General features: G+C 49.0%; 1 protein-coding gene across 4 annotated transcripts in view, besides 1 other annotated feature; it reads left to right on the forward strand.

Moving 5' to 3' along the window:
• Positions 1-26344, forward strand: part of INPP5D (inositol polyphosphate-5-phosphatase D) — a 147562-nt gene that overhangs the window by 98615 nt on the left and 22603 nt on the right. For all 4 annotated transcript variants that reach the window (NM_001017915.3, XM_047444219.1, NM_005541.5 and 1 more), the window contains exons 11-20: positions 2768-2870; positions 4751-4947; positions 5351-5468; positions 10349-10445; positions 11070-11208; positions 11540-11648; positions 12108-12196; positions 18309-18390; positions 23454-23543; positions 25452-25565. In NM_001017915.3, coding sequence (NP_001017915.1) covers positions 2768-2870; positions 4751-4947; positions 5351-5468; positions 10349-10445; positions 11070-11208; positions 11540-11648; positions 12108-12196; positions 18309-18390; positions 23454-23543; positions 25452-25565 — 1138 coding nt within the window. The remainder of the gene's footprint in view (positions 1-2767; positions 2871-4750; positions 4948-5350; positions 5469-10348; positions 10446-11069; positions 11209-11539; positions 11649-12107; positions 12197-18308; positions 18391-23453; positions 23544-25451; positions 25566-26344) is intronic.
• Positions 4703-5316: an enhancer, noted in NCBI's record as "H3K4me1 hESC enhancer chr2:234072305-234072918 (GRCh37/hg19 assembly coordinates)". NCBI's record gives its function as "activates a minimal SCP1, AML or CMV promoter by ChIP-STARR-seq in primed H9 embryonic stem cells {active_cell/tissue: H9 hESC(primed)}" and the evidence as "EXISTENCE:reporter gene assay evidence [ECO:0000049][PMID:30033119]".

Consider the following 26344-nt stretch of genomic DNA (forward strand, 5'->3'; position numbering starts at 1 on the left):
TATTTTGTAGAGACAGAGTCTCGCCGTGTTTCCCAGGCTGGTCTCGAACTCCTGGGCTCAGGCAATCTTCCCGCCTCTGTCACCCAAAGTGCTGGTATTATAGGTGTGAGCCACCCCTGGATTTAAATCTGAGTCTCGACTGGAGCTCCATCCCAGAGACTTTCATTTCTACACTTTGCCCCGCTCTGCAGAAGTGAGATGCCCCTGCCAGGATGGGTTCCTGGGGTAAGAGGTGCTGTGGGCCACTGGGGAAACCCAGGCTGGGCCTCTGTGCCCCCACAGTGGGTTCTTTGTGACCTGACCCCTCATCTCAGAAATTTGAACCAGGGCCAAAACCTATCATCGTGAACCTCATTCATTGTTCTCTGCCATGCAGCTCGTGTGAGGCAGTAAAAATGGATTGCACCAGCCTGAACAGCCTAGTCAGACCCCATGTCTACAAAACAAAAAAATTAGGCCAGGCACAGTGGGTGCCTTATGCCCATAATCCCAGCACTTTGGGAGGCTGAGGCGGGACGGTTGCCCGAGACCAAGAGTTCGAGACTAGCCTGTGCAAGATGGTGAGACCTCATCTCTACGAAAAAAAAAATAGCTGGGTGTGGTGGCATGAGCCTGTAGTTTCAGCTACTTGGGAGGCTGAAGTGGGAGGATCGCTTGAACCCAGGAGTTTGAGGCTGCAGTGAGCTATGATCACACCACTGCACTCCAGCCTAGATGACAGAGCAAGATCCTGTCTCAAAAAAAAAAAAAAAAAAAAGATTGCAGCGCAATAAGGGTGTCCATCACATCAGGTGCTGGCTGACATCTCACATCAGGGACCCCCAGCAAGGCCAAGGGACAAGCGCTTCTGGTGCAGGCCCACAGTGATAGCTTCCCACTGAGTGCCCAGTCTCCGCTCCTACTTTCACCTCCAAAGCATCAGGGGTGGGCTGGTGGGAGGTCTAAGGTGTCCAGAGCTGTCAGGAATAATAGGGAAGGGTCTGGGAGAAACAAGAGAATGGGGCCCAGACAGGTGGTGGGAGATGGAGAGAAAGACCGCTGGGCTGGAATGCTTTCTGAGCACCTGGGCATAGGTTCAAACACCAGCTCTGCCCCATTGCTGCGACCTCAAAAGGACTGAGGCACAGGGATAAATGGAGGCCATGAATCTTGAGCCACTCCCAACTCGAGGCAGGTTATAGTAAAGATGGTCATTATGACATCTTTGTGAGCTGGTGTCTTCAGGGAGGACTTACTGAGATTTGCAATTATAAGGTTGAATCATGTAAAATTTCTGTCTTTGCAGGTTGAAACAGTCAAACACTGGTCATGTCATATGTTACACCCTGAAATTTGTGTACTTTGTTAAAGTCCGCCTGCTCTATTGATTGCATCCTAAGAGAGGGCCAACTGAGGCTGCTTGGTGCCCCACTGGGTACCCCAGAAAAATACGTGAAAAATATTGAGTAGGCTATGAAAGCCTTCATGTCCTCTCTTCTTTTTAATTAGTTTCTTTAATTTAAATGTTCTTTCATTACATAAGTAATCTATTCTCCTTGGTGAAGACGTGGCAAACACAAACAAGCAAATGTTTAAAATAAAAACACTCGTATACCATGAGTTAATCTGGGACTATGCCCCTTCCAGATGTTTTTTAATTTTCTCTTTCTTTCTTCCTTCCCTTCTTTCTTTCTTTTTCTGTTTCTTTTCTTTTCTGAGACAGGGTCTTGTTCAGTTGCCCCGGCTGAAGTGCAGTGGCAAGATCATGGCTCACTGCAACCTCAACTTTCTGGCCTCAAGTAATCCTCCCACCTCAACCTCCTAAGTTGGGAGGGACTACAGGCATGCACCACCATGCCTGGCTAATTTTTTTATTTTTTGTAGAGGCAGGGTTCCCCTATGTTGCCCAGGCTGGTCTCAAACTCCTGGGATCAAACAATCCTTCTGCCTCAGCCTCCCAAAGTCCTGGGATTACAGGCATGAGCCACTGTGCCAGGCCCAAATGTTTTATTAAAAATGCAATGATGCTATTCATATCATTTGTCAACTAGCTTTTCATGCTTAAAAATATATATTGTGGCCACCTGTCCTTGTTGGCAAGATAGTTCTGGATCACACTTGTTAAACACTGTGATATTCTAGTTTATGGATGGTCTAGAATACTTTTTTTTTTTGAGACAGACTCTAGCTCTGTTACCCAGGCTGGAGTGCAATGATGCGATCCTGGCTCACTGCAACCTCCACCTCCTGGGTTCAAGCAATTCTTCTGCCTCAGCCTCCCGAGTAGCTGGCATTACAGGCAAGCACCACCACGCTTGGCTAATTTTGTATTTTTAGTAGAGACAGGAGTTTCACCATGTTGGTCAGGCTGGTCTCGAACTCCTGACCTCAGGTGATCCACCCACCTCGGCCTCCCAAAGTGCTGGGATTACAGGCATGAGCCACCACACCTGGCCCTCTGATACATTATTAATGAATCTCCTAAGGCTGGACAGTAAGGTTGCTTCTGATTTTTTTCTGTGCTGAGGCCTGTGCTGCAGAGCCGTGACAGGGTTGGACTTCTGCGCAGCTCCTGATCACTTTGTTAAAGTCGCACCTTTGCAGGGGAGTGTCTAGGCCAGAAGCCACTCGCTTATGACTTTGGACACATGTTTCCAGGTTGCTGTCCTGGAAGTTCACACTGATTTACGCTCCTCTCAGTTTTCTTGAAGCTGACCAAGTCCTTTGCAAAGTGTAATGTGCAGGGAGGCAGAGGCCTTTCTAAGTCTGTCTGCCCTTCCATCCCTAGAAGAGAGAAGGCTTCTGCCAGCTCCTGCAGCAGATGAAGAACAAGCACTCAGAGCAGCCGGAGCCCGACATGATCACCATCTTCATCGGCACCTGGAACATGGGTGGGTCCGCGCGCCCCCTCCCTGCAGTCACCCCCTCTGCTTCTGCTTTCCTGACTCAGGCATCCTCAAGGTGGGGTGGAGTGACGACATCCATGTCCCCTTCCTTCCTGCCCCAGGGCCCTGCCCCTAAGCCCCAGCCCACCCGCACAACCTCCTTCCTGAGGAATTCCACCCTTTTCCTGAGATGATGGGTAAGAAAAACGAGCTTTGGGACTATCGTACCCCAAGAGCAGCTGGCGTGGGTTACTCTGTATGTCTAAATTGGAAAGTTTTAGGGAAAGAGTCTGAATATCTAGGTGAAGGGGCTCATGGGAACCCTGCCAGCCCTAGGCAGCTCACCAAGGGGCCCCAGGCCTGAGAGAAAGAAGTCCACCCTGAGTAGGGTTGCCAGATTTATCAGGAGAGAGACAGAGAGAGACAGAGAGATAGGTACGTAGACAAAGGATGCCCAGTTAAATTTTAACTTCATAGAAACAATTTTTTTTAGTATATGTTTAGCTACAAACAAATAAATACTAAATATATATGCTCATAGACATTATGCTGAATATATAGTATATATACATATGCTAAATAAGTGTAATTATTATATTAAATATGAATTATACTAAGTAATATTAGTTTAAGCATACAGCTAATAATATACTAAATATATGCTAAATATATTTTGTATTAAACATATATATTGTGTATTTACTAAACACATGCACTCTACTAAATATAAATAATACTAAATAATTTTTTAGTGTAAGTGTTCAGGTAGAAATAAATTAGATAGAAGACATCCAGATAAACTTATTCTAAAAACTACCAGTTTATCTGAAATTGGAATTTCACTGGGTGTCGTGTGTCCCCTACCCTTGTCCTGAGAGGAGTCTGGGAGGAAGAGGGTGAGCAGTGGCTGGCAGGGGCCTCCTGGAAGTGAAGTGACAGCTTGTCACTCGTGTCCCAGGGCCACAGCAGCCGTGGAGTAGAGCCCGGGCCAGTGCCCCAGGGGGTCACTTGTCCCCTTCGGTCCCTTTCAGTGTTTCTAATAAGAGACAATAGTCTGCCTGATCTCCTCCCTCTGGACATGGTCAGGGATGTCCATGACACAAGGGCAGGGGTGCCCTTCCCACAGAAGAGTATGGAAGGAGCCAGCTGAGGCCATGCCGCAGGAGGGCCGGGGACCCACCAGCCCGGGGGTTCGGGCACCCACTTTGAGCCTCTTGGGGGAGCAGAATTTAGCCACAGTCCATTTACTCCAATGCTTGGCTTCTTTGCACTTGTAAGGCAAGAAGCTCATCTCTTTGAGGAACAAAGTTTGCTCATCCTTCAAGGGCATTGTAGGGAGAACCGTTCAAAATTTCTTGATTGAGCTTCTTCAACTCAGTTTTGAAATGGGAATGCGGAGGAGTTTCCACACTCTCCCGTTTCTCTGGCTCACACCCAGGCATCCCTCCGCTCTGGGCTGGGATCTGTCTTGCAAGGGAGACTTTGTTGTCTCCCAACAATGGGTTAGAACCCGCCATCTAAAACTTGTCAGTTCCCTTGGCTGTCTTGAGAATAGGATGTGAGTTCCTTGAGGGACAGGACTGTGTCTCAATTATCGTAGCCTCAAAGTGCAGGACAGTGTCTGACATCAGGGAATCTTCTGGTGTTTCTATACCTTGAAACTTGACATTACGTTTAAAAAGAGGCTTAACTGAGCTCTAGCCCTAACCGACATCCTGGGTGAGGTTGGCGCCCAGGCCTCCATTGCAGGCATTTCTTTGGGCTGCCTGGATGGTCTTGTGTAATGACGTGACCTCCCTCACACTCCCGCCCTCTGTTTTGAATTCTCCTAATGCTTTGACTCGATGTGCCTTTGACTCACTTGGTGTTGGGTTTTGCTGTTGAAGGTAACGCCCCCCCTCCCAAGAAGATCACGTCCTGGTTTCTCTCCAAGGGGCAGGGAAAGACGCGGGACGACTCTGCGGACTACATCCCCCATGACATTTACGTGATCGGCACCCAAGAGGACCCCCTGAGTGAGAAGGAGTGGCTGGAGATCCTCAAACACTCCCTGCAAGAAATCACCAGTGTGACTTTTAAAACAGTGAGCAGCTGGCTGCACGCTGGGTGGGCTTCCGGGATAGAATCTTTGCTCGGCTGGGCTGTCTCAGAGGCAAGGGTGGGCTCAGCCTATCAGCTCTCAGTTTTCAAGGATGTCTGGAGGCCCCCACTGAGAGATGCGTCTGTATTCAGAAATAAATGGGATCTGTGGGGTATTGCTGAAAACCACTGAGTCCTCTATCTTCCCACCCTTGGTCAGCCCCGGTTCTCATCTTTAGGATGTTTTGTCTCGCCTATCAAGCATCGCTGGGAGTCCCCCGAAGGGTTGGGATTACAGACAGGATACCCCATACCCAGGGGCTGCGGCTGGGGCTGGGTGTGAATCACTGTGCCCTGGTTCACACCCTACACTTGGGCCGAGTATTGCAACGTTGTCCTCCCACCAGGTCGCCATCCACACGCTCTGGAACATCCGCATCGTGGTGCTGGCCAAGCCTGAGCACGAGAACCGGATCAGCCACATCTGTACTGACAACGTGAAGACAGGCATTGCAAACACACTGGGTGAGCAGGGCGGGGACCCTGTGTTCCTCCCACACCCTCTGCCTCAACTCTCGCGACCACATCATCCTGATCCCACCAGTAGTTCCCCGGGTTAAAAACAGAGAGCCTCACATCCTCAGATCCTGGCTCAGTCCTCAGCAAATAGGGGTGATTGGTCTCCCTGGCTGAAACTCACTCAGGGTCTACACCAGCAGTCCCAGGGATCTAGCTAAAATGCAGGTTCCGACCCAGTAGATCTTGGGTGGAGCTCAGGGTTCCAAGTTTCTGACAGGTTCCCAGGCGACTTGAGCGCTGCTGGTCGGCCCGTGGGACCCATTTTAAGAAGCAAGAACCTAGAAGAGGCATTGGCCAACTTTTGCAGGAAAGGGAAGGGCCTGACAGTAAATATTTCAGGCTTTGCAGGCCACTCAACACTATTCCTCTCTGCCTTTCTGGTGGGAAAGCAGCCATAGGCAACCCAGAAAGCGAATGGGAGTGACTGTGTTACCAGTGAGACCTTCCTTACAAGCACAGGCGGGAGGTGGCTGGCCCCTGCCCTCGGTCCCTGTGCACCAGGTTGGATCTGGAAACGCTGGTGTCAGTGGAGAGTTGCTGGCTTCAGAGAGCAGTAACAAGGGCAAGAAGTCTTCATAAGTGTAGGAGTGCAAGCCTGTGTGTTTGTGTAGGATGTGTGTGTGAGTAGGTCTGTGTATGTGAGTTTGTGTGAGTGACAGCGTGCATGTGAGTGTGTGAGCCTGTGTAGGTGTGTGAGAGTTTATGGATGTGTGTTTGTGAGCATGTTTATGTGAGTCAATGTGTGAGCGTACCACCCCATATCTATGAGTGTGTGTCTATATGTGTGTGAATCTATGCATGTGTTTGAGTGTGTCTATGTGAGTCTATGTATGTGAGTCCGTGTATGAGTGTACCACCCATATCTATGTGTGTGAGTGTCTGTATGTGTGAGTCCATGCATGTGTGTTTGTGTGTGTTTATGTGAGTCTACATATGTGAGTCCGTGTGTGAGTGTACCACCCCGTATCTATGAGTGTGTGTGTGTCCATGCATGTGTTTGTGAGTGTATTTATGTGAGTCTATGTATGTGAGTCCGTGTGTGTGTACCACTCCATATCTATGAGTGTGTGAGTGTCTATGTGTGTGTGTCCATGCATGTGTGTTTGTGAGTGTGTGTTTATGTGCATCTGTGTGTGAGTGTACCACCCCGTATCTATGAGTGTGTGAGAGTCCATGCATGTGTTTGTGAGTGTGTTTATGTGAGTCTATGTATGTGAGTCCATGTATGAGTGTACCACCCCATATCTATGAGTGTGTGAGTATCTGTGAGTCCATGTGTCTGTGTTTGTGAGTGTGTGTTTATGAGAGTCTAGGTATGTGAGGGTGGGTGTCCGAGTGCATGTGCATAAGTGCTAGAGCCTCTCTGTGTGTTTGTGTGTGTGTGTGTGTGTGCCCGTGTGTGCACGTGGGGTGGTATACACACAGGGCTCCAGGGCTGGCATCAGGGGCGAGGCCAGTGGTTTTTGGTGGTTGGAGTCAGTGGAGTCAGGAACAGGACAGAGTCCCAGAGATAACAGGAAATAGAAGAATTGCTGCAATCGAACGTGCAAAGCTCTCTCAACTTTTCTGCTGACAAACCGCAAACTGCCCGCGTCCACCCCCACTCGTCCCCCTTCCTTCCTGCCACAGTAGAAGGGTGGGGCTGGCGTGGCTATCCTGGCTGCGCCCACGCCCTCCTGCTGCCCAGCAACCGCCCCGGGTGTGGATTCCATCGCTCCCTGGGCTTCCAGTCCCTCCCACCAGCCCCTGCCCCGCTGTGCAGAATATGCTCGGACCTCCTAGGGCCACATAAAACCACCCCCTCAGCCAGACCAGTTCCTGGTCATCCTGGCCTCAGGGCTGGGCACTGGGTCAGCTTCTGAGCAGGCAGGAGCTCTGCTCATGTGGACCTGACACACATTGCATGAGCAGACGGGAGGAAAAGAAGCCAGTTCCTGGGAGGGAGTGCACTGGCGAAGGAGTGTGTGGCGTGGGCAGAGAGCAGAGGTCAGGGGCCTCCCTGAGAAGGGCAGTGCGACTGGCATCTGAGGGGTGAGGAGAAAGGCCTGGCCAGAGTCCCAGCTTTATGACCATTGCAGGGCAGCTTCTGGGCTGTGCAGCTCACACACACCTTCCCCTCCTTCCCCTCCTTCCCCTCCTCTCTGCCCTGGGGCCAGCCTCCCTCCTCCACTCCCCTGAAATGGCTCCCAGCCATAATTAGCACAGGACAGAAACAGCAAATGCTGGTCGGTGTGGTAGGCTCACGCCTGTAATCCCAGCACTTTGGAAGGCCGAGGCCGGTGGATCACTTGAAGTCAGGAGTTCGAGACCAGCCTGGCCAACATGGTGAAATCCCATCCCACTAAAAATACAAAAATTAGTTGGATGTGGTGGTGCGCACCTGTAATCCCAGCTGCTTGGGAGGCTGAGGCAGGAGAATCGCTTGAACCCGAGAGGTGGAGGTTGCAGTGAGCTGAGATCATGCCACTGCACTCCAGCCTGGGTGACAGAGCGAGACTCTATCTCAAAAAAAAAAAAAAGTCCTTAGAACAACCAAGGCCTTTCTAAGAGTGTGCCCTAAGCAAGGCTGTGTGCTGAATGCTTTGAATCATCTCATTTGATATAAACACCCTGCTAGGCACGATGGCTCATGCCTATAATCCCACACTTTGGGAGGCCAAGGTGGGAGGACCTCCTGAGACCGGGAGTTTGAGACCAGCCTGGGCAACATAGGAAGGTACCATTTCTACAAAAAAAAAAAAAAAAAAAATGGCATAGTAGTGCATGCCTGTGGGCCCAGCTACTCAGGAGGCTGAGGTGGGAGGATCACTTAAATCTGGGAGGTCAAGGCTACAGAAAGCCATGATTTTGCCACTGCACTCCAGCCTGGGCGACACAGACTTTGTCTCAAATTAGAAAAAAAAATACAAACACTCGGGCAGGGACTCTTATTATTCCCATTTGCAGATGAAGAAACAGAGTCTATGGAGATGATCCATAACTTGCCCAAGGCCCCGGGATAAGAATGTGGTGGGCAGGGATTGAAACCAGGCTGTCGGGACTGGAACCAGTTGCTCAGTTCCAGGTCACCCTCCCAGGTTGCGGGCAGAGGGGCAGGGCTGGAGAGCTAGGTGCAGTGGAGAGGGCTGGAGGGCAGAAAGCCTGTGTACTCCCCCACTGGGTCCTGACAAGGTTGAGCCAGGTGATATCCAGGGGTCCCTTCAGCCTATGGCCTATCCAGAGCTGTCCAACCAAAAGAAAATGGGGCCGGGTGCCGTGGCTCACGCCTGTAATCCTAGCACTTTGGGAGGCTGAGGCAGGCAGATTGCCAGAGCTCAGTAGTTTGAGACCAACCTGGGCAACACGGTGAAACCTCGTCTCTACTAAAATACAAAAAATTAGCTGGGTGTGGTGGTGGGTGCCTGTAGTCCCAGCTACTCCTGAGGCAGAGACAGGAGAATTGCTTGAACCTGGGAGACGGAGGTTGCAGTAAGCAGAGATCGCGCCACTGCACTCCAGCCTGGGAGACAGAGTGAGACTCTGTCTCCAAAAAAAAAAAAAAAAAAAAGAAAGAAAGGAAGAAAAGAAAATGATGGGAGCCAAATAGATCATAAATAAATAGATTTATGATCAAAATAGATTACAATTTGATTTATTACAATCAATAGATCAAATTTTCTAGTAGCCACATTAAAAAGAAAACAAGTGAAATTAATTTCAATAATAGATTTTATTGAATTTCATACATCCAAAATACAATTATTTCAATAGATATTTAATGTAAAAGGTTATTAGATATTTTACAGTCTGTGTTTCTTACCAAGGCCACAATTCCAATGTGTATTTTACACTCACAACCTGTCTCATTTTGTACCAGCCACATTTCAGGTGTTTGATAGTCACATGTGGCCTGTGCCTGTATTGGACAGAGCAGGTTCTCACCTGCATGTGTCAGAATCACCTAGAGCAGGGGTTAACAAGCGTTTTCCATAGAAGGCCAGATGGTGAATATTCTAGGCTCTTTGGGCCACACAACTGTCACAATGCTTCAGCTCTGCCATCGTAGTCTGAAAGCAGCTACAGACAATCCAGAAGTCAATAGGCATGGCTGTGTTCCAGTAACGTGTTCTTTACGAACACTGAAATTTGAATTTCGTATTTTCATGAATGACAAAAGATGGTTTTTCTTTTGATTTGTTTCCAACCATTTACAAATGTAAAACCATTTGTAGCTGGCAGTGAGCCAGCATTTGCCCACCCCTGACACTGGAGGGCTTGTCAAACACAGATTACTGGGCCCCATCCCAGGATTTCAGATTCAGTAGGTCTGGGGTGGGGCTGAGAATCTGCCCTTCCATGAAGTTCCCAGGTGATGTGCAGCTGCTGGTCCAGGGAACTCCCTTTGGGAACCACTGACCTAGAATAGATCAGAACGTTGGCAGAAAAAGGTATGATCTCAGTGTGGGTTTTTGGTCTCCCCAGGAAACTTGAGTTCACTGGGAGGGAGATCAGCCCACCCAGGCTGGAACCTTCTGAATCTTCCCAGGGCTTCTGGCTGCCCGCTTAGCACCCTGGTCACTTTAGAGAGAGATGCCGGGGGAGGATCGCAGCAGCCACCTTCCTCTGCCCCGCCGAGAAGGCTGAGGCTGCCGCCATCTGCACTGCTCCTGCATTTTCTCATCTCCCGCTCTCTGCCCAGCGGCTCCCACCCTGCACGACCCTGTTTCGCCCATCCCTTGCCAGCTCCTCACTCACTGCCCCTCTCACCCTGCCTTCGGGTGATTTCTGGCCCCTTGGCAAGTGTGTCTGTTTGATATTTTGATTCTTCTTTCTGCTCTTCTTTTTAGGGAACAAGGGAGCCGTGGGGGTGTCGTTCATGTTCAATGGAACCTCCTTAGGGTTCGTCAACAGCCACTTGACTTCAGGAAGTGAAAAGAAACTCAGGTAATGGAACTCCTTCCCCCCAAGAGTGTGCATTTGGGCTGTCTGCCCAGACACGCCTCACACCTTTAAGCACCAGAAGGACCTGCTCAGCTCCTGCCTTTGACCTTGTGGATGTCCTGTGGCCTTTCAGGGCCCACCACAGTCTCATCAAAGGCAACTGCAGCACCATAGTGACCTCACGTGTGGAGGAATTTTGTCTGAAGGTCAGAAAAGATATTTCCTTGTGTCATTAGCCTGATGGACCGCTAACTAGCACTGTTTCTAAAGCAGAAAGCCTCCTCTGGGGCCTCCTTACAAATCCAAGCTGATCTTGCCTAGCTGGGGCCCAGGAATGAAGACAGCCATCTAGAATCTTCACTGTTCTGATTCTCTGCTGAGCAGATGCTGCTGCTCCTGGTCCCCTGCCCTCTGTACACCCAATGTGGCCTCAAATGCCCTTTGCATCCTGGCTGTGCCATATTTGCACACTAAGGAGTTCTGCTGCAGCAGGGCTGGAGGGCTAAGTCTCACTTCCCCCCACCTGCTATGCTCCTCGCCCCACACCTATGGCAGGAGTGACTTCCTGCCACAGTGGAGGGGGAACCAGTGACCCCGTGCTAGATGGCCGCTTTTTCCTTGCATTAGGCGAAACCAAAACTATATGAACATTCTCCGGTTCCTGGCCCTGGGCGACAAGAAGCTGAGTCCCTTTAACATCACTCACCGCTTCACGCACCTCTTCTGGTTTGGGGATCTTAACTACCGTGTGGATCTGCCTACCTGGGTAAGGGCTGCCCGCCTGGGGCTGGGGCTGGGGCTGTATGAGATGGAGGCTCCCTTGAGTCAGCTTGGGGCAGGTGGTCGTGGAGACATGTGAATCAAGTGGGCTGAGGCGGCTGCTCCCCTTGGGGGCTCAACGCTGTTTCCATTACTGAGCCTCAGCCGCTCCTCACGGTTCCCCTGTGCTCACACCCGGTTCCCATAACTGTCACAGCCACCCTGCCACCATCACTCTGCAGCCCGGGTCATCCAGCTGCCCGCCCCCAGCCCCGAAGCTTGTCAGGCCTGGATCAGCAGGGCTTCTCACCAGAGGCCCGGGCATGTTCTTGTTCCAGGAGGCAGAAACCATCATCCAGAAAATCAAGCAGCAGCAGTACGCAGACCTCCTGTCCCACGACCAGCTGCTCACAGAGAGGAGGGAGCAGAAGGTCTTCCTACACTTCGGTAAGAGCAGCAACCCCGGCTGGGAGCGGTGGCTCACACCTGTAATCCCAGCACTTTAGGAGGCCGAGGCGGGCGGATCACGAGATCAGGAGATGGAGACCATCCTGGCTAACACAGTGAAACCCCGTCTCTACTTAAAAAAATACAAAAAATTAGCCGGGTGTGGTGGCGGGTGCCTGTAGTCCCAGCTACTTGGGAGGCTGAGGCAGGAGGATGGTGTGAACCAGGGAGGCAGAGCTTGCAGTGAGCCAAGATCGCGCCACTGCACTCCAGCCTGGCCAACAAAGACAGACTCCGTCTCAAAAAAAAAAAAAAAAAAAGCAGCAGCCTCTCCTCTTGGAGCCTTTCCAGCCATCCTTTCGTCCCCTTTCCCCTGATTTCCTACCAGAAGAATAGGGAAAATTGGCCAGATGCAAAACCTGGGGAATCAGAATTAAAACGAAAGTCTCTCTGTTTCAGAGGAGGAAGAAATCACGTTTGCCCCAACCTACCGTTTTGAGAGACTGACTCGGGACAAATACGCCTACACCAAGCAGAAAGCGACAGGGGTGAGTCCTCTTCATAGACACCTTCCCTGCCCTCCATCTCCTCCCCGCTGGTGTCTGTTCCCAAAAGGTGAACAGAAAGTGTCTTCATCCATTAGGCAAAAAAAAAAGGAAAGAAAAAAATTAGAAAGCACATGTTGATTTGTGTTACAGAGTAAATGGGAAGCCACACTTGTGCACTGCTTTGAGCTGGGAAAATAACCCTTGTGATTTACCTTCTGTCCAGATACTCTAAGATGCTGAGAGGACTTTAAAGTATTATTTCCTTAACTGGGTTCTGAAGATCATTTTTTTAAAGTCCCGTGATCAAATATATTTACTAAACTGCTGAGTGAATTAACATTAAGCAGGTTTCTTCGCTGCAGGACTTATCAGAGCTTTTATGGGCCCAAGAGCACTGTGGTTCTCCATGAGGAAATCTGTATGCCAAACTCAGTTATTCATGGAACACCAATTAATGTCTTATGAGGCCACTTGTTTTCCAAGGAACAGTGTTTTGGGGAAAGATGCAATAAAATATGTATTCATTTGTTCAAAGATATTTCCTGATGGCCTATTATGGGTTAGGCACTCTCCTAGGTGATGGGAGAGCAAAGATGTCTTTTCCAGGGACTTCACAGTAGGAAAAACAGATATGCAACTAGCTGTAGCCAGAGCCAGAATGTGACAATGCCAGGGCAGGGAAGGATCAGGGAAGCCAGCCCCTGGCAGGATTCAAGGGTCAAATGGCTGGGACGGTGAGGTACCCAGGCCCACTAGAAGCCTAGGGCAATGGAGCGCAAGTTCAAAGTGTCATCTGAAAGAGTTCTGGGCCCCATCTGGGCTCAGGAGAAAGTGAAGAACTGGACGTGGGAGAGGAAGGCCAAGCGCTGGGTGGATTTTAGAACAGAGCAGGAGAGGAAGAGAATACAACTGAGAGGACAGGAGGAGATCCCGGACTGCTGTCACCCACGAGGCTGGGACCCCCAGGATGGGACACCCCATTCCGCAGGGTCCACTGCCTGCTGTGTGGATAAGGTCACCTGGCCCAAAGGCACTGTCAGAGCAGGTCCTTGGGGATCCCTGTGCAGGCTGGTGAAGGATGGTTTGCTTTGATGTGAGTTTAAGTTGAGGCAGAGGAGGGCCTGAGATGGGAGAGTGGCCGGTCCTAGATGCCAGGATGACAGGCCACAGGGGGCCACTGCAAGCTCTGCCGGGCACTGGTGCATCAGAGTGGCATGTGCAGAATTGTGGTGGGCATTGTGGTAAAGGATGAGGACGCGGCAGGGGCATCGGTGAGGAGGCCGTTGTGCACATTCAGCTGAGCAACAGCTAGGGCCGAATCAGGGAAAAAACAGTGAAAATGAAAGAAAGGGGGAAATCAGGATATATTGCGAGACCTGATTGCCATTGATAAAAACTGGAAAATCACAAGGCGGAGCTGGCTTGAAGGGGAAAAAAATAGAACTTGTTTTCAGACTTACTGATTGTGTGACATCAGTGGAAGAACCCAGAGAAAATACCCAGAAGGCAGCTGAAAATAGCGATGCGTCGCTTAACAACGGGGATATGTTCCGAGAAGCGTGTCATTAGGTGACTTCGTCATTGTGGGAACCTCATGAAGTGTGTATACACAAAGCCCACTTCAGTTAGATGGTGTGGCCTATTGATCCTAGGCTACAAACCCGTATAGCATGTTACTTTACTGAATACTGTGGGCAACTGTAACACAATAAGTTTTTGTGTATCTAAACATTAAAAAGGTACAGTAAAAATATGGTATAAAAAGAAAAAAATGGGCTGGGGGCAGCGGCTCATGCCTATAATCCCAGCACTTTGGGAGGCCGAGGTGGGTGGATCACTTGAGGTTAGGAGTTCAAGGCCAGCCTGGCCAACACGGTGAAACCTTGTCTCTACTAAAAATACAAAAATTAGCCATGCATGGCGGTACACGCCTGTAACCCCAGCTACTCGGGAGGCTGAGGCAAGAGAATCGCTTGAACCCGGGAGATGGAAGTTGCAGTGAGCCGAGATCGCGCCATTGCATGCCAGCCTGGGTGACAGAGCAAGACTGTGTCTCAAAAAAAAAAAAAAAAAAAGAAGGTGGTACACCTGTATAGGGCACTTACCATGAATGAAGCTTGCAGGCTTGGAAGTTGCTCTGGGTGAGTCAGTGAGTGAGTGGTGAATGAGTGCGAAGGCCTAGGACATTACTATGCACTGCTGTAGACCTTACAAACACTGTACACTTAGGCTACCCTACATTTATTTTTTAAATTTTCTTTTTCCAATAATAAACTAACCTTAGCTTACTGTAATTTTTTATTTATAAGCTTTTTATTTATAAACAATTTAATTTTTGACGCTTTTGTAATAAAATGTAGCTTAAAATACAAACACATTGTACAGCTGTACAGAAATATTTTATTTCTTTATATTCTTAATCTATAAGCTTTTTTTCAAGTTTTAAAATTTCAAAACTCTCATTTACATTGACTTTTTTGTTGAAAATTAAGACGTAGGCTGGGCACCGTGGCTTATGCCTGTAATCCCAGCATTTTGGGAGACCGAGGTGGGTGAGTCACCTGAGGTCAAGAGGTCGAGACCAGCCTGGCCAACATGGCAAAACTCTTGTCTCTACTAAAAATACAAAAATTAGCTAGGCGTAGTGGTGTGCACCTGTAATCCCAGCTACTTGGGAGACTGAGACAGGAGAATCGCTTGAAACCTGGAAGCAGAGGTTGCAGCGAACCGAGATGGCGCCACTGCACTCCTGCCTGGAGCAAGGCTCCGTCTCAAAAAAAAAAACAAAAACAAAAACCATAAATGCACACATTAGCCTAGGCTGAAACAGGCTCAGGATGGTCAATGACATTATCACCCACCTCCACATCTCATCCCATGGAAGGTCCTCGGGGCAATAACATGGAGCTGTCGTCTCCTATGATGACAATGTCTTCTTCTGGTTACCTCCTGAAGGACCTGCCTGAGGCTATTTTATAGTTAACATTTTCTTATAAGTAGGAATACACTCTAATGATAAATAATATCGTAAACACGGAAATGAGTGACAGTTGTTTATCATTATCAAATATTATGTACTGAACAGAATTGTACTGTTATGCTTTTACACAGCTGGCAGTGCAGTGGGCTGGTTTGCACCAGCATCCCCAGAAGCATGTGAGTAATGTGTTGCGCTGTGACGTGATGACAGCTACAGCAGCACTACGTGATGGGGATTTTCCAGCTCCATTATAATTTTGTAGGACCTCTGTCCTATATGCAGTCCATTACTGTGGTACATGACTATTTGTGGAGCCCCACGGGTAATTCTCAGAGGCAGCTGATGCCGAGAACTGCAATGTTAAGAAGTAACTGTTTAGGCTGGGCACAGTGGCTCATGCCTGTATTCCCAACACTTTGGGAGCTGAGGCAGGTAAATCATTTGAGGCCAGGAGTTTGAGACCAGCCTGGCCAACATGGCGAAACCCCATCTCTACTGAAAATACAAAAATTAGCCAGGTGTGGTGGCGCACTCCTGTGATCCCAGCTACTCAGAAGGCTGAGTCAGGAGAATTGTTTGAATCCGGCAGACAGAGGTTGCAGTGAGCTGAGATTGCCCCACTGCACTCCAGCCTGGGCAACAGAGTGAGACCCTGTCTCAAAAAAAAAAAAAAAAAAAGGACTTAACTAACTGTTAGGCAGAATCAATGAAAACTAAAAATGCACCTATTCTATGATTCAGTAATTCCGCTTTGGTGTGTGTTCAAGAGAAATTTGTATATTTGTTCACCAAAAATAGGTATAAGAATGTTTAGCCGGGCATGGTGGCTCACGCCTATAATCCCAGAGCTTTGGGAGGCCAAAGCAGGTGAATCACCTGAAGTCAGGAGTTCCAGACCAGTCTGGCCAACACCGCGAAACCCGTCTCTATACAAAATTAGCCGGGCATGCTGATGGGCGCCTGTAATCCCAGCTACTCGGGAGGCTGAGGCAGGAGAATCACTGGAACCTGGGAGGTGGAGATGGTGGTGAGCCGAGACCATGCCACTGCACTCCAACCTCAGCAACAGGGCGAGACTCCATCTCAAAAAAAAAAAAAAAAAAAAAAATGAATGTTTATGGCAGCCTTGTTTGTAATCTTCAAAACTGAAAACAACCCTATGTCCATTAACAGTAGAGTAGATAAATGTGATACTTATAAACAATGGAACTTTTATAAGCAACGAAGTGGCTGAAGGAGTCCAACATAAAAGAGTATCTACTGAGTGAGTCCATTTATATACGTTCATATAAATTAATCAATGGAGATGTTAGTCACACTAATGCTCACCTTTAGGAGGCTCTGGTATTGACAAGGAAGGCTTATGAGGGAAGCTTTAGGATGATGGCGGTTTTCTGTATCTTGCTCTGGGTAGTGGGTAAGTGGGTTTATACAAACCTAAAAATGCATGGGACTGTACACTTATGGTTAGTACACTTTATGTAAGTTGTACCTAAAGTTTTTTTTAAAAAGTGAATGGTTCAGAAGTAGAGAGAATGAAAATAAAAACTTTTGTTTTTTTTTTTTTGAGATGGAGTTTTGCTCTTATTGCCCAGGCTGGAGTGCAGTGGCGCAATCTCAGCACACCACAACCTCCACCTTCTGGGTTCAAGCGATTCTCCTGCCTCAGCCTCCTGAGTAGCTGGGATTACAGGCATGCGCCACCATGCCCGGGTAATTTTGTATTTTTAGCAGAGATGGGGTTTCGCCATGTTGGTCAGGGTGGTCTCGAACTCCCGACCTCAGGTGATCCACCCGCCTTGGCCTCCCAAAGTGCTGGGATTACAGGCATGAGCCACCATGCCCAGCCTGAAAATAGAACATTCTTGAAAGAAAATTGGTAAAAGGAAGAAAAGAGAAAAGTAATTGAAGGAGATGACAGAGATAAGCTCTTTCAGGATGAGTTCCTTTATGTTTGTAGACAGAGAAGAAAGAGCTAGAACATGAGGGGATAAGGATATTGATAAAAGAGGGTTGTTATTGCCAGTTTACCTTGTCTATCCCACCTAATGGACATCTTGCTCATCATTGCAGCCTGAGGCCCTGGAGAGGGCTTGTCATATAGTATTAATAGATACTGTTTGAGTGATTGGATAAGTAGGTAGACGGGTGTGTGAACGGTCAATGGATGAGTGGATGGGTGCGATGGATGGATGGATGGATGGATGGATGGATGGATGGATGGATAGGCGAATGGATAGGTGGGTGGGTGGGTGGATGGATGGATGGATAGATAGATGGATGTGTGGGTGGGTGAATGGATGGATGGATGGATGGGTGGATAGGTGGATGGATGGGTGGATAGGTGGGTGAATGGGTGAATGGATGATAGCCATATGGTGGTAGTGTGGATGATGATGATGATGATGATGATGTGTGGTGTGAGGATGATAATGGATTGATGATGTGTGGGTTGGTGGAGGATGATAAATGATGATAGGTGGATGGGTGGATGGATGGATGGCTAGTCGGTGGGTGGATGGATGGGTGGGTGGGTGGATGGATGAGTGGATGAATAGGTGGATGGGTGGATGGATGAAATGGACAGGTAGTTGGATGGATGGGTGGATGGATAGATGAATGAATAGGTAGATAAGTGGATGGGTGGATGGATGAATGAATAGGTGGGTAGGTGGATGGATGGATGGGTGAATGAGTAAAGATGGGTAGATGGGGAGATGAAAAGGTGGACAGATGGATGAATAGAACTGGGGGTGGAAGCTGAAGTGTGTTATTAAAGTAAGTGACTGCAGAAAGTGAGCAGAGACTGAGCTGAAAATACAGGTGGGGGTTCATCTGAGTCAGAAAGAAAGTAAGAGAAGGTGAAGATACAAGGGATACTGAAGTAGTCAGGAGGATATGTGAGGGAATACAGCAAGGTGAGTTATCTTAGTCTAAAGAAGAAGGCGTGGCAGTGGAGTCTGGACTTGAGCCATGTGAAAAAAGTTTAAAGCCACCTACAGGGAAATTCTATAAAAAGCCAACAGCCGATGAATTTGAGGATTACAGAGGCCACCAGTTAATCTGTTCTTTTACTGATTAAAAAAATAATAATAAGAGGCATTTTTTAAAGCCTATGACTTTGATTTGCAGATGAAGTACAACTTGCCTTCCTGGTGTGACCGAGTCCTCTGGAAGTCTTATCCCCTGGTGCACGTGGTGTGTCAGTCTTATGGTGAGTTCAAACACTGGGGAAAGCAGAACAGGATCAGAGAATGGCACCAAGCTGGGAGGTGTGACTGCCCTAAAATCTAAGGGCTTCAGTCTGTTGATGTGTCAAAGGGAGGAATTCACTGTAACCCTAATCAGGCGACCTGGAAATGTTGATGCTTCCCTGCCTGTCTTGTGCTGCCACCTAATCCATATCCCCTGCTTTAGGAGACATTTGAATTATAGAGCACTTTTTTTCTTTTTCTTTTTGAGACGGAGTCTCACTCTGTCACCCAGGCTGGAGTACAATGGCATGATCTCATCTCACCACAACTTCTACCTCCTGGGTTCAAGCGATTCTCGTGCCACAGCCTCCCCAAGCAGCTGGGATTACAGGCTCCTGCCACCATGCCTGGCTAATTTTTGTATTTTTAGTAGAGACGGGGTTTCACCATGTTGGCCAGGCTGGTTGCAAACTCCTGACCTCAGGTGGTCAGCCCACCTCGGCCTCCCAAAGTGCTGAGATTACAGGCATGAGCCACCGCGGCCGACCCGGAGCACTTTTTTAAAAATTCAGTTTTATTTCTTTTGAAAAGAACATATTAAGTGTGAACCATATGAAAGTGTTTTTGTAGGTCAGAAATAGTTATTGGAAATTCATATGGCTCAAACTAATACATGTCGCAAGTGTGTACACATATATACACATATATATTTGGGGAGGTTTAACCATAAATTGAGTTAAATTGATTTTTAGAAGGCATAACATGTAATATTAAAATAAATAATTATGGAATAAGTTATCAAAACAATTAAGAAATAACTGTTAGCCAGGCACTGTGCCACGTACCTATAGTCTCAGCTGCTCAATAGGCTGAGGGGGGAGGATCGCTTGAGCCCAGTAGTTCAAAACCAGCCTGGGCAACGTAGACTCCATCTCTGAAAAAAATGAAAGAAAGAAATGACTGTTAACTCTTGACCCTCAAAGTTGAAGGTGCACTGAAGGAGTTCTTAATTGCCTGAATGCTTATTCTGAAAAGCTACTGATTAGTTCCCATTACTTACGAAGTGAGACCTTAAAAATCCACAGAACAGAGTTGCTTTGAACACTTCACTGACTGAGAATTGTGGTATTTTATTATTTATTTATTTATTTATTTATTTATTTATTTATTTATTGAGACGGAGTCTCTCTCAGTCGCCCAGGCTGGAGTACAGTGGCAAAATCTCGGCTCCCTGCAACCTCCGCCTGCCAGGTTCAAGTGACTCTCCTGCCTCAGACTCCCGAGTAGCTGGGATATCAGGCACGCAGCACCACGCCTGGCTAATTTTTTGTATTTTTAGTAGAGATGGGGTTACACCATGTTGGTCAGGCTGGTCTCGAACTCCTGACTTCAGGTGATCCACCCGCCTCAGCCTCCCCAGGTGCTGGGATTACAGGCCTGAGTCACTGCGCCAGGCCCAGTGGTATTATTTTTAAAACACTGCGAATTCCCACACAATGGCCTCTAAAGGATGGCCACCCCAGTCCTTGGAGCAAGGAGAGGGGTGGGGGAATGCTGCCCGCTGGCCACCTTTGTGGCTCCCACTCTGTCTCTGGGGACTGGCAAATTTGGTCTCACTTATTTAACTCTGGTCCTATACTTTGAACTGACTTCCATTCCAGTGCCTGTCTCCTCCTACTGCCCAGAAGAGCCCAGAGCAGCTACCCTGAAATAGTTTAACACACGCACCCTGCATTCCTTGCTGAAGGACTGAGCTCTGTCTCCCAGAAGTGACGTCACTAGACGAACTTCACACAACACCTTTAGATGTGTGGGAAGGCAACCTGCCCTCATAGCCACGGCCAGGGCATTGTTCCAGCTTCCAAAGCTCAAAGTGCCTGAGTCCTACCCTCTGCCTGCAGCCTCCTCACTTGTGCATTCCCTCCCTGCCACCCGTCGGACTCTCCAGGCCTGTCACTCCTTCCCAGCCACACTCAGGGTCAACCCTGTCAATACTGTCCTTCCCACATCCTGCAGCTCCGTGCATCCTGCCAATTCTTGTCTCAACCATCTGTCTGCTTCAGCCAGCCTCTGCCGAGAGTCAGGAGATAGTGGAGGCTTGTAGAATTACCACTTACTGTTTTGCACCTAAACTTGGCATTCAAAACTGCTCGACAGTGGAGGCTTTAGAGAAAGAGGAGGGAGATCAGTCCGGAAGTGGCAATGAGGAGCAGGAAGGACACCCTTTGCCCCCACCTCCGGGCCCGGAATATGAGGGTTGGGGAGGAAAACAAGCCTCACCAGAGAGGCAGCAGTGTCTTCCGGGGAGGGCTGGGTTTGGGAGGTGACAGGAAGATTAAAGATACAGGGAATTTTGCTAATGATATTTCATTGAGTGCCAGAGGGCTCAGTAGAAGCGTTTAATGAGTTGGGGTTGAGGGGAGGCAAAATGTTGGAAAAGAAAAGGGAGTGAATGTCCAGAGCTCAGGAAACAGGGGTGACCTGGGAGCCTCAGTCTTCTCATGACAATTAACATAGCAGGCATATCAGCTGTCTATTGCTGCATAACAAACTGTCCTAAAACTCAGTGACTTAAAGCAAACATTTATTTGCTCGCGAGTCTCTGCGCTAGGCTGAATTTGGACTGCTCACCTCTGCTCTAGTTGGTGTCATCTGGGCACACTCAGGCAGGAGCCCATCAGATCTGGGGTCGGCTGGCTGTCAGCAGGCATAGGGGTGGTACTCATCATCCAGCAGGCCAGTGCTGGCTTCTTAGCTTCCTGGTCTCAGGGTTCCCAGATTCGAGTGTCACCAGTGGGGAAGTTCTTCTTAAGGCTCTGTTGGCCTCATGTTTACTAAGGTCCCATTGGCCAAAGAAAGTCACATGACCAAGCCCAGACTCATGGTGGGAGGGGACCACAGAGAGTGTGGTTACTGGGAGGAGGACTGGGTCTTTGAGGGTCACCCATCTTACAGTCCACCTCCTAGGCTTAAGGGCACACTGTAGTGCCATTGCTATTATGTTCAGTACATATCTGAAATATTCTGAGAATGCTTAAAAAAAAAAACCCTGCTCGTCAACCCATTAAATTCTCCCTGGAACACCCCTCCTCCACTGCCACAGCAAACCTGTACCCCTGTGCTCAGCCTGACTCCCCACCTCCATCCTCTCCTGCCTCACACAGCACTGGACCTCACTGATTTCTTCTTGCCTGTGTCCAGTTTTTTGTTTTTTTTGTTTTGTTTTGTTTTTTGAGACAATCTTGCTTTGTTATCCAGGCTGGAGTGCAGTGGCACCATCCTGGCTCACTGCAACGTCAGCCTCCCAGGTTCAAGTGATTCTCCGCCTCAGCCTCCCAAGCAGCTGGGATTACAGGCGCCCACCACCACGCCCAGCTAATTTTTGTATTTTTAGTAGAGACGGGGTTTTGCCATGTTGGCCAGGCTGATCTCGAACTCCTGGCCTCAAGTGATCCACCCACCTCGGCCTCCCAAAGTGCTGGGATTACATGCGCCCACCACCATGCCCAGCTAATTTTTGTATTTTTAGTAGAGACGGGGTTTTGCCATGTTGGCCAGGCTGATCTCGAACTCCTGGCCTCAAGTGATCCACCCACCTCGGCCTCCCAAAGTGCTGGGATTACAGGCATGAGCCACCGTGCTTGGCCTCAGGTCCAGTTTTTAGGCTGATGCCCTCGCATCTTCCTCCCTCCTGTCTCAGAGAAGGGGTAGCCTCCTCTTTCTTTCCTGCCTAGCCTTTGCCCCTGGACCCTTGACTCCATCTATTCCTTCTCCACTACCAACCAGTGCCCCCACTCCCATCCTTCTCTCCTGTCCCTTTCTCTGTTCTGTCTCATAGTTTCCATGTGTTTCTCTGGTGATCCTTAGTAAGTGAGCTTTTTTTCTTTTCATGTTTATTAGCCATCTGTATTTTTTGGTGAATTTTCTGTCCATATCCTTTGGTTGGTTGAAGGGTGGAGTGTTTATCTTTTTCTTGCTGATTTGTAAATGCTTTCTAAAAAGGATGCCAAGTCTGTTTTATCACCTTCTTGGTCTCCTTTGCTGGCGGTTTTTCCTTTGCCCGCCCATTCATGGTTGGTGTGCCCTGGAATTCCATCCTCGTCTCTTCTCATCCTTCGTGTGAAAGCCCAGACATGCTCAGGTCTTCTGCTTCCACCTAATCCTAAGACTCCACATCTAAAGATGCATCTCCAGCCTTGAGTGCCCATTTCCTGCCAGGCATCTCCAACGGGCTATCTTGAAAGAACTGTCTTTCTAGAACTGTCCTCTTTCTCTTGCCCCTTCCCAAAGTGCTCTGCTGCCTCCATTCTCACCCGAGCACCAAGCTCCTTAACAGAGTTTTCTACACTTAGCGTCCTCCACTCTCTCCCGGTTCTATGAGGCATCGTGGGATGGAAAAGGTGTCCCGTCTCTCCCACCGATGAGCTGAGTGGCCTTAAGTCCCCTTCCCACCCAGTGTTTGGGGCTCTTCATCAATAAAATAAAGTGAGCCAGGCGTGGTGGCTCACGTCTGTAATCCCAGCACTTGGGAGGCCGAGGCGAGTGGATCACCTGAGGTCAGGAGTTCAAGACCAGCCTGGCCAACATGGCAAAACCTCATCTCTACAAAATGCACAAAGATTAGCTGGGCATGGTGACACGCACCTGTACTCCCAGCTACTCGGGTGGCTGAGGCATGAGAATTGCTTGAGCCTGGGAGGTGGAGGCTGCAGTGAGCCGAGATCGCGCCACTGCATTCCAGCCTGGGCAACAGAACAAGATTCTGTCTCAAAAATAAGTAAATAAATAAGTACAATGATTAGACCAGAAAAATCTCCATGGTTCACACTCCCTAATCAATTCAAAAAGTCTTAGGTCTTTAGGAAAAATGAGCACAGGCTTCTTCTGTCCATGGAGGAGGCAGTGTCCACACTGTCTTCCACTGAACCCTTTAAGCATTGCTGTGGAAGGACAACAGGTGCAAAACTTCGCACTTCTGGAGGGCTCCATAACTAAAGTTTCTTTCTGCTTTAGGGTTGCCATCCTTGGCCTGACCGGAAGGGCTTCTCCTTCCCTGCTTAAAAATGCCTTCCCTCCCCTGCAGGCAGTACCAGCGACATCATGACGAGTGACCACAGCCCTGTCTTTGCCACATTTGAGGCAGGAGTCACTTCCCAGTTTGTCTCCAAGAACGGTAAGCAAAGGATGGTGTCTGTTTCTCTGTTTTCCTCAATGACAAGGAGTGTTGGGAGCTTGTCTTCAGGTGGCAGTCAGTGGTCTGCATTAGAGGAAGGCTCATTTTCCCAGGCAAGTCCACAATATCAGTCAGTTTCTTCATGTCCCAGCCACAGCACAATTGCAGTCCAGAGAATTTACTTGCTCTGCTTGGCAAGTATGTCAGCCTTTTGAGCCTCAATTTTAGTCTGAAAACGTGGGTAAATCAGTGTTTACCAAGGTGTGGCCTGAAGACACTGAAGATAATTCTCCGGGTGGGATGGGAGGAGGGGGCGGGGGACATGAATAAACATTTATTAGTAATGCCTTTGTTTTAACATGTTTTACATTTCTGTCTTCTGTTTAAGGCAAGCACCATTACTTTTCCATTTAATATTGTGATATACCTTATTCAGCTACACTTAATTTTAAAAAGTGAGTCTATTTAGAGAAAATATGAAGTAAAGAGTAGCACAGGTGCGTGGTAGGCAGAGATGGTAAAAATCGTTAAGATGGGATGCAAATGACTGAGTTTTGGGAAACACCACAGTAAATAATATTTAGATTTGCAGGTAATTTTTCAAATAATCCAGCTCAGCCCTGGTTGCCAGGCCACCCTCATCCCAGCTGGGCCAGGTGTTCTCTGTAATGTGCCCATCCAGCCCTTGGCCTAGGTGACCAGGGAGCCATGTTGTCTCTGCCCAGTCTCTGCTTCCGCGGTCAGCCCAGTGGTCACTGGGCTCCTTTAGGAAGACCAAGCGTAGGGGACCCAAATACAGGGAAAGACCATCTTGCTCTGTGTCCTTCATGCCCTGGGGGACACACGTGAGGCCGAAGCACTGTCTTCCTGGGGTGCTCTTATCTATCCTATTGTATCTAACATCCATGGCCCCAGAAATGTGACCTCCCTCCTCCACCCAAGCCTTGACCCACCATCGTGTCTCCTTCCTAAGTCTGGCCACTGTGCCTTTCTAGAATCTTCCTAGTCCTTAGGCAGGACCTCTTCCCCGACTTCCACCCATCTCTCCTTTCTCTGAGCTCCTGCAGCCTTGAAGGGGTTGCCCTTGCCATCTCCTCCTCTATTCCGGGGTAGGGCATCCTCCATGTCAGGCTGGGCTTCCCTCCACGGGGGATCAGTACACAGCAGATGCTGGAAAACACTGATCACGGGGATTGAGCATTGACAGGGCATCTACCTAAGCCAAGCCTGGACTGGGCACTGTGGGATTTAGAAAGAGAAAGGAAAGAAGGAAGGATGTGAGGGATGGAGGAAGGAAAGGTTTGTTCATGGTCTCCGAACAAGTCTCTGTTCTGTGGCTCAAAATTTCTATGAAAGGACAGAACACTTGTTTAAAAGCAGCTTAAGGATGCTTGCAAAAGCATCGTCTAAATTAATACAGTTGCAGGCAAGTTAACTCTGTACAAATGAGCTTATGGAGTCCAGAGGAAGGAGTGGGGATAACTGTGCCTAAGGGAGAGAGAGCTGCTAGCCCTCATTATCTGAACTCAGAAACAGCATTGATCTGGGTATTGAGCAACCGAGCCATTGTACAAAGTCTTTTTGCTGGAACTAGCTGGGAGCCTGAAATAGTGGGGGTATTGCCTGAGGTCACACAGCTTTAGTGACAGAGATGAAATGAGGTCCGGACTCCTGGGACTCTGCATCTTTCTGCCCCGCTCTCTGCCCTGGCCAGCTCACGATGCATCAGAGAGGTTGAGGATGCTCGGCTGGGTGCTGGATTTCGCTGTAGCTTTAGTTCTCCTCCCACTAGACTCCCACCTTCCTGGGACCCTGAGAAGGAGCTCAGTATGTGGCATGAGAACTAATTTGAAATGCTCCATCTCCAGGCACATTGTGGAACTGAATCCGTGTTCTCCCCTGTTCCAGGTCCCGGGACTGTTGACAGCCAAGGACAGATTGAGTTTCTCAGGTGCTATGCCACATTGAAGACCAAGTCCCAGACCAAATTCTACCTGGAGTTCCACTCGAGCTGCTTGGAGAGTAAGTGGCTGCTGAGCCACCTTCTGGGCAGAACTGCCCGGAGCCTTCTTATAAACACCTTTCATACTTGGCACTTTGCCCCATATCTTCTCTCCCTGGAAAGGACTCACGAAGCTGATCAGAGAAGTGGGGCTGCAGGTGGATGACTCAAGGGGACACTCAGTTATTGTGAGGGGTCCCCCTGTGGCCTGTGCAGCCCTAGGGGCAGGGGTGGCCATGAATGTACTGACCCCCCAGTCCCTTGTAGGTGGCAAGCAGGGTCCAATCCCTGGCCCTCAGGGTGGACTGTGACCCACTCTAGGTTCCCTGCAAGCTGGGGCTCTGACTCAACCAGAGAGTGTTGGGCCCAGGTCCAGACCTCAAAGAGCCGGTGTGAGGGCCTGAGCAGCAGCTGCCTGTTGTCGCCCTGGCCCCTCTTGCTCGTTGGAGATCACAGCGTCTTTCTCGGGGGGACTGCAGCGTCCGAAAGCAAGCAGGAGATGGACAGGCTCCCCTGAGCCAGCAGCCTTTAGCACAAACTGTGTTTAGGAAACACCCTTTCCGGGTGACATTTCTAGGCAGATTGTCTAAAGCTGTTTCATGGCTAGGGAAGAGCTGCGTGTGTCCAGCCGTCTTCGCTGAGATGGTCTGCACAGTGATCGGGGGAGGAAAAGGGGGCATCACCTCCTCAAAAGGGCATTTTGTGAGGGCCTGGCTGGGATGCTTCCAGAAATCAGGAAGAAGCGTGTGCTGCCAGTTCTGCCCCTCTGGTCCCTGCCTCCTTCTCCAACTGAGGTGGG

This window comes from Homo sapiens, chromosome 2 (genome assembly GCF_000001405.40).
Source record: "Homo sapiens chromosome 2, GRCh38.p14 Primary Assembly".
Classification (NCBI taxonomy): domain Eukaryota; kingdom Metazoa; phylum Chordata; class Mammalia; order Primates; family Hominidae; genus Homo; species Homo sapiens.